Here is an 8,057-nt window from a genome sequence, read left to right as displayed (position 1 = left end):
CGGGTTCCGCTGTCCAGCCCCAGTGGGACCGACTCCACAGTGTGGCTCAGGGCTACCGACATCATTTGCAAAATGAACAAGCAGGCCCCTTGTTCAACAATGACTAAGAGTTTTTAAATGGTGACAGCAGATCATTAAACCAAGCATAGGGTCCTTCTGGATGCACAGCCCTGGAGCCAGCCCTGGTGGGACTCAGGCTTCCTCCAAGACCCCCAGAGGGATTGCAGCAAAGGTGCCCTCCATGGGCCCTCGTCACCTCTCCCTCGTCTGACTGTCTCCTCCTGTTCCGCTTCCCCACTCTCATGCCAGTTTTTCCCAGGAACCGCCCTAATGAATCACTTTCAACAAATCCCCCTCCCAAGGTCTGCTTCAGGGGCTCTATGCTAACACAGGGTTCCAGGAGCAGAGCCTAGCTGACACCTCATCCCAGCAATACCCACGCTGCTTCCCACCCCTGAATTAAACAGTGACAAAGTATCACAAAACACCAGAGACTCGGCATCTTATTTGGTTGTTTTTATTGTTCTGTGGCCTCCTCCCACCTGCTAACATTTAGGCCTCAGCACATCCGGTGGCTACAACTAGGAATCACACATTAGTAAGCAAGTTCATTTCCATTTCCTGAAGGATGAATTTATCTTGGGAACATTTGAGATGGGTACATACCTCCCAGAGCCAGACTTGGGAGGAATCTGTCAAAAATATCAAGATGCTGAGCCTTGTCTTAGAAAGGGGCTTCAGAAATGCTTTCATGGGTGGCGGCTTCTTCCCGGGGTAAAGGTCTCGTGGAGCTGCAGGGCCTTGCTCCCAGGATGGTAAAACAGGGACCCAGAGCTGTTAAGTGGCTCCCACAAAGTCACCCAACCAGGCTGGGCCAAACTGGGTTTGATGGCCAGGTGTCCTGTCTCTAAGCATCTCTGGGGTCTTGCTCTGCTGAGCTGAATGTGAACTGTGAGGGTCAAACTACTTTTCCCAACTGTTTCCAAGGCTTAGCAGAAAGTAGAGGAATGTTCTTGCAACCTAGCTGGAAAGCAAGCAAAGAAGGATCAGGGTGAACCGCTGCAGGGCAGACCAGAGACAAAGAAGGGTCAGGGTGAACCACTGCAGGGCAGACCACAGAGTCACAAATCTTTCGTCTCCCCGCCGCCACCGCCACCATCAGAAACACCAGGAAGATGCCCCTTTCTGAGAAGACCCAATTCTGAACTCACTGTGACGTCTTCACGGCATCATCTTATTTAGTTCCTAACTCCTCCCCTACCATCAGTTCCATTTTATAGATGAGGAGGCTGAGGCTTGGAGAGCCGAAATTATTTACTAAATCCACAGTGCTGGAACAAGAATTTAAACCCAGACCTAGCTTGCTCCAAAGGCTGTACTTTTTTTTTTTCTTGAAACAGGGTCTCACTCTGTCACCCAGGCTGGAGTGCAATGGTGCAAACATGGCTCACTGCAGCCTTAACCTCCCTAGGCTCAGGTGATCCTCCCACCACAGCCTCCCAAGTAGCTGGGACCACAGGTGCACACCACCATGCCTGGGTAGTTTTGTATTTTTTTTTGTAGAGATAGGGTTTCACCATGTTGGCCAGGCCAGGCTGGGCTTGAACTCCTGGGATTATACCATATGCCTGCTTCGGTCTCCCAAAATGTTGAGATTACAGGCGGGAGCTGCTGCGCCCACCCAAAAGCCTCAACTTCCAAACTGCCATCCTCAACTGCCTCCCAAGGTCTCGTCCTCATCCACTGGCCTCCTTCTTCCCTGTTAGAAGCTCAGTCCTCAGCTGCATCTGACCTACTCCAGGGACGGCTCCTGTCATCAGCAGGTAACAGACGTGCTGGCATCAGTCCCTACGGGCTCCAGATTTTCCGGGAGGATTCTGGAACCTGCAATCTGACATTTGCGTTTCAGCGACGTCCTGGGAGGCTGTCACCTGCTTTTAGGGGCTCCTTTTTGCCCTCTGTGGCTATCCAGCATTCACAGGGGCTGGGTAGATTTTCAGGTTTAGGGCTGCAACTCCACAGCCCTTTGCATGCACCTACGCCTCACCTTTGAGGGCACGTGAGGGCAAGCCTGTGCCTCACCTGCGGCCTCCTCTGGAGTCAGCCTCCCTGCCACCTTCCTGCGTCTACCCCAGGGGCCTTCTTTGGCTCCCCAAAGCCAGCGTCCCTCCTGCCTCAGTACTTTCACTCTTCCAACTCCCTCCACCTGGGCGCCTATCCTCCAGACCCTCCCCAAGCAGCACCTTCTCACCTTGGATCTTGGCTCAGACTTCAACCCCCACAGGGCCTTCCCTGACCCCAAACGAAGCAGCCCCTGCCCCAGGCTCTGCTCCTGCCCAGGGACTCTGCCCCACATTGCCTGTTCACTTCTTCACCACACCTGTCTTTGTATTGATTGATCTGTTGGCTTGTGTAGCCGTCCCCTACCAGGATGTGGCCTCCCTGAGGGCAGCGGCTCTGTGGGATTTGTTCACTATACCACCCTGGCATGAACTACCGCTGAGCAACCAAGAGGCTGGAACCATGACTATCAGATAGTTGGCACCCAACAGAATTGTTTGACAGAAATGAGAAGAGATAGACAAGACTTCCTGGAGACATCAAGGCAAAGGAATGAAAAGGAAAGTTGCGACCTAGTCTGGTCTTGGATTTTTGATTCAGAGGGATACAGAATTGCTTCTGCTTCTGATCACACACAAAGTTCTCCTACGTTCCTGCCTTGAAATTGCAGTAGGTCCTCATTTAACATCATGGATAGCTTATTGGAAACTGCAACTTTAAGCAAAATGACCTACTATATAACAAAAACAATTTTACCATAGGCTAATGGATATAAACAAGAGTTAAGGCCAGGCACAGTGACTCATGCCTGCAATCCCAGCACTTTGGGAGGCCAAAGTGGGAGGACTGCTTGAGGCCAGGAGTTCAAGACCAGCCTGAGTAACATAGTGAGAACTCATCTCTACAAAAAATACAAAAAAAAAATTAGCCAGGTGAGGTGGTGTATGTCTGTAGTCCCAGCTACTGAGACTAAAGCTGAGGCAGGAGGATGGCTTGAGCCTAGGAGTCTGAGGCTGCAGTGAACAATGATTGTGCCAGTGCACTCCAGCCTGGGTGACAGAGTGAGACCCCATCTCTTAAAAAAACAAACAAATGAGTTAAGCTTCTATGGCATACAGTGCATATAGTATGTCGTTGCATTTAAAGTCAGTTTCCAAGAACCTATTGATGACGTTAGGTGAGGACTTACTGCAGAAGGGAATTTCAAATTCTACCAGTAGGGAAAGCGCTACTCTCACCCTCCTGCTCCTCAACCTGGTGGTGAAAGCTGCCAGGACACTGGCTGCCCACATTTACCCTGGCCATGACTCTTGCTCTCTGCCCACTCACCTGCTTGCCGTTGCTTTACTGAAAGTGCTTCTGTTGTCCCCTTCCAGGTTCTGCCACATTCTTTGAGTCACCTTCTGTGAAAAGAACACAGCTCTGTTGGGGTAGATGTATCTATTCCTGCTCTAATGCCCCCCGTGGCTCACCAGGAACTGCCAAATGAAGCCTGGTGACCTGGCCCTCTCCTCCCTCCCCCAGCTGAGGTCACTCAGTCCCCACCTGCAGTGCCTCCTCTCCCTCCCCAGGCCCCCCAGCTGGTGTCACCAGCTCTGTCTATGTTTCTGGTCTTACCTCCCACCACCTCCACAGCTCACCACACACTCCAGCTTTGGGGATGGCCAAATTGCTTCCGACCTCAAGAGCTTCACACATGCCATTCTGCTGCCCACTATTTCTTATTCTTTAGGCTGAGCTTTCATGTCTCCTCCTTAGGAAGCCTTTTCTCACAACCTGGACTAAGGTGTCCTCATAGTATCCAGCATGTGATGTCAGGAAGGCTTGTCACTATTCTCATAAAATAACCACTTGGGCTATATTCATGTCTGAATTTTCTGCTTGATATTAGCTGCATGACAGCAGCGACTGGGTCTGTCATGTTCACAAATGTAGCTCCAACCCCCAGCACAGACTGATGAGTAATACTTAGAAAATATGTGCTGTAAATTATTGATAAAGACATATCAGATGGATGGGAGAATGGATGGATGGATGGGTGAATGGATAAATGATGGATGGATGGATGGGTGAATGGGTGAATGGATAAATGATGGATGGATGGATGCATGGATATATGGGTGGGTGGATAGATGGATAGATGGGTAGATGAATGGATGGATGGATGGATGGATGGATAGATGGGTGGGTGGATGGACGGATGGATATATGGATGGATGGATAGATGGATGGATAGTGGCTGGCTGGATGGCTGAATAGATAGATGGATATATGGGTGGATGGATGAATGGATACATAGGTGAATGGATGGATGGGTAGATGGGTGGATGGGTGGATGGATGGATGTATGAATGGATGAAAGAAGAGATAGATGAATGAATGCAAGGATATGTGCATGAATGGATGAATGGGCAGATGGATGGATGGTTGGGTGAATGGATGTACGGGCAAATAGATGAGTGGATATAAGGATGGTTGGATGGAGGGATAAAGGAATAGAAGGGTGGATAAAATAATAGATGGGTAGATGAAAAGATAGATGAATATATAGATGGATAGATGGAAGAATGAACAGATGGATGAATAGATCGATGGAGGAATGGATGGATGGATGCATGCTTGAAAAAATGGATGGATGAAAGATTAGATGAATATATGAATGGATGAATGAGTGAATGGATAGATGAATGGGTGGGTGGATGGATGGTGGGTGGATGCATAGATGGGTGGGTGGATGGATGAGTGGATGGATGGATAAATGGATAGACAGATGGGTGGATGGGGCCAGGCACAGTGGCTCATGCCTGTAAATCTAGCACTTTGGGAGGCCGAGGCGGGCAGATCACCTGAGGTCAGGAGTTTAAGACCAGCCTGGCCAACAAGGTGAAACCTCGTCTCTACTAAAAATACAAAAATTATCCAGGTATGGTGGCGGACACCTGTAATCCCAGCTATTTGGGAGGCTGACGCAGGAGAACTGCTTGAACCCAGGAGGCAGAGTTTGCAGTGAGCCAAGATTACTCCAGTGCACCCCAGCCTAGGCAACAGAGTGAGACTCCATCTCAAAAAAAAAAAAAAGGTAGATGGGTGGATAGATGGATAAGTGAAAGGATGTATGTATGAATGGATGGATGGATAGATGAATGGATGATTGGTGAATAGGTAAGTAAATGAAAGGATGGATGGATGGAGGGATGAAGGAATAAAGGGGTGGATAAAAGGATAGATGGGTGGGTGAAAAGATAGATGAATATGTGGATGGATGGATGAATGGGTGGATGGATGGAAGAATGAATAGATGGATGAATAGATTGATAGAGGAATGAATGGATGAAAAAACAGGAAGATGAATGAAAGAATAGATGGATATATGAATGGATGAATGAGAGGATGGATGGATGAATCGGTGGATGGATGGATGGATGGTGGGTAGATGGATGGGTGGGTAGATGGATGGAGGGATGAATGGATGGATGAAATAATAGATGGAGAGATGGATGGATCAATGGATGATTAGATGGATGAATGGAAGAGTGGTATCAGGCGTGTTTTCCAATTCTCTGAATGAAAGTAGCAGAGGCTTAAATATGAGCAGTTCCAGGCTCTGCTCTTCAGCATGAGGTCATGTTTGCCATGAGCTCCTCTGTGACTCACAACTCCCTGCCCACCATCAGACCACAGGTCTTCTATTTTGTTTCTTAATCCCAGGTCCCATTTTGTTCCCTATATCTCAGCCCTGGGCTTTTATTTTTTTCTTCACATAAGAAACTTTCACTGCCTTTTTTTTGTGCCCTCTGGAAAGAAAGAACAGTTTCTTCTTTTACCTGGATATTCTTTGTAAAGTTTGTGTCGTAGGATTCGCCCATCTGGAAAACAAGTGAGAGGAAAAAACTTCTTTTAGGAGTTTAGAAGGCCAAAACTGTTGTCATAATAACACTGAGGAATTACTTGTGTTTTTCAGTCTCCCCATCTCACTAGTGTACAATGGAATTGTTCAGAGGCTACATGAGCATTTGTAATGTCTCAGCTCTAGTTTCTAATATGATAATATCCAGAGCCATCAACCCATAAAGGAAAGCCCTGTGAGATCTCCTTAACATCTTTCAGGGTACAGCGGTCTTGAGAGCAAAAAGTTTCAGAACCACTGTCTTTTTTTTTTTTCTTTTAGACGAAGTCTCACTCTGTTGCCCAGGCTGGAGTGCAGTGGCATGATCTCAGCTCACTGTAACCTCTGCCTCCTGGGTTCAAGTGATTCTCCTGCCTCAGCCTCCCGAGTAGCTGGGATTACAGGCATGCGCCACCACACCCAGTCAATTTTGTATTTTGAGTAGAGATGGGGTATCGCCATGTTGGTCAGGCTGGCCTCGAACTCCTGACCTCAGGTGATTCACCCACCTCAGCCTGCCAAAGTGCTGGGATTACAGGCGTGAGCCGCCATGCCCGGCCAAAACCATTGTCTTAACAGATGAACTGGAAGCCAAATTTCAACACACTGTTGAGTAAATGTCATTACAAAATATGTTCACAGGGGGAAGAGATGACACTCTTTTGAGTCTGCCCAAGAGACACTCTGATGTCATTACTGCAAATGACAAAGTAACTTGAGTATGAATCCTCACTCGTCCTCTTTGAGCCTCAGTTTCCTCTCCTAAAAATAGGCATAAAATTAGTACCTCTTAAAGTTATTGTGAGGATTAAAAGAAACAATTTCATTTAAAACATATCTATGCAGTATTAGGATGAGCCGTATGAAAATTCTATCTTTGTGTGTAAAAAGTGGTCAACTGCTGGCAATTTCATGCATGTCCCATGACTAGCCGTGCTACCCACCCCATGGTAGCAGGAAAGCATTTGCTGACAGGAATGTGACCAGGACATGTGGATGCTTGAATGTGGCAATCTCTCTCAAATTTAGCTCACTTCTCCATCCTGGTGATCAGCGCTGCCTTTTCTGCTATAAGGTTAATCAAGCACATATGCGCGGTAGCCAGACATTTTCTTTTTCTTTTGTTTTGTGGCCATACTAAAAATCATCAGGCTGTTTGGGACCAGCACGGACATTTATCGGTCAAGGTGCTAACGCTCCATGGAACCGCTCCAGGCCCTCCGGTGGGTCAGCGCCTGCTGATCAGCAACTGCAGCAATAACTATTTTCCAAAGCAAATGGCTAAGGTTTTTGTAGGCTGGGGGAGCTCCCCAAAACTTTCCTGCTCCCCCTTTACCTGGGGGTGAATTCTGGCCCATAACACCACAAGGAGACAGAGGTAAATGTGGACCCCGGACCCCCTCCTCAGGCCAAATATAATCACTTATAATTTATTACCAAAAATGATTACTCGTCACTTTTCTCAAATTGCCTCCCACTCAAGGCTAGACAAGCCCCACTTCATTCTTCTCAAGCAGTGTCTTGGGCAGGACAAGGAGGGGCCAGCCCCCGCAGCTCAGCTTCTGTGTGACCTCAAACCTACTCAGAAAAATGCACCGATTTTCCCTGAACCCACTCTCTGAAAAACCAGATTTACTATACATGTCAGTGTTCATTTTCCTCTTGCATAAAATGTGAACCCCTCAAATGCCTGGTTCCAGGTGCTGGATGGTCAAACTTGAAGGACTATTGGTACCCGCTAGAAGCCTCTCTTACGGGAGGATGGCATCTTAGGTGTCGGCACAGGGCCTGTCGCTTACTCTCAAATGGTCCAGAAAAATACACACGTAGATTTATAAGTGGGGAGAGAGCATAAAGGAAAATGTAACGGTAGTTTTTTAACAACTGGTGAATCTGGGTGGGGGATTCAAGGTACTACTTTTGCAACATTTTTATAAGTCTGAAATTATTTCAAATATGCAGTTTTTAAAAACTTAAATAAAAAGCTTCTTCCTTGGTAAGGCTGGGACAAGGGGGCCACCCTTCCCCTGAGATTTTTGCTCCAAGGGAAGTTGCTGGAATTCAAAATGTTTTCAAACCTATATATAATTACCAGTAAATTACCAGTAAT

General features: G+C 47.4%; 1 protein-coding gene across 4 annotated transcripts in view; it reads right to left on the bottom strand.

Annotated features, from left to right (window-relative positions):
• Window positions 1-501: 501 nt before the first annotated feature.
• WFDC1 (WAP four-disulfide core domain 1) overlaps window positions 502-8,057 on the bottom strand; it is a 34,967-nt gene continuing 27,411 nt past the window's right edge. For 2 of the 4 annotated variants that reach the window (NM_021197.4, XM_047434411.1), the window contains 3 exons: window positions 5,886-5,927; window positions 3,391-3,464; window positions 502-1,024 (listed from right to left, as the gene is read on the bottom strand). In NM_021197.4, coding sequence (NP_067020.2) covers window positions 3,406-3,464; window positions 5,886-5,927 — 101 coding nt within the window. In that variant the 3' untranslated portion in view covers window positions 502-1,024; window positions 3,391-3,405. The remainder of the gene's footprint in view (window positions 1,025-3,390; window positions 3,465-5,885; window positions 5,928-8,057) is intronic. The other 2 variants (NM_001282466.2, NM_001282467.2) reach the window with 1 other exon arrangement.

The sequence above is a fragment of the Homo sapiens genome, chromosome 16 (assembly GCF_000001405.40).
Source record: "Homo sapiens chromosome 16, GRCh38.p14 Primary Assembly".
Classification (NCBI taxonomy): Eukaryota; Metazoa; Chordata; class Mammalia; order Primates; family Hominidae; genus Homo; species Homo sapiens.
Note: the sequence above shows the minus strand (reverse complement) of the source record. Positions and strands in the feature narration are given on the sequence as shown.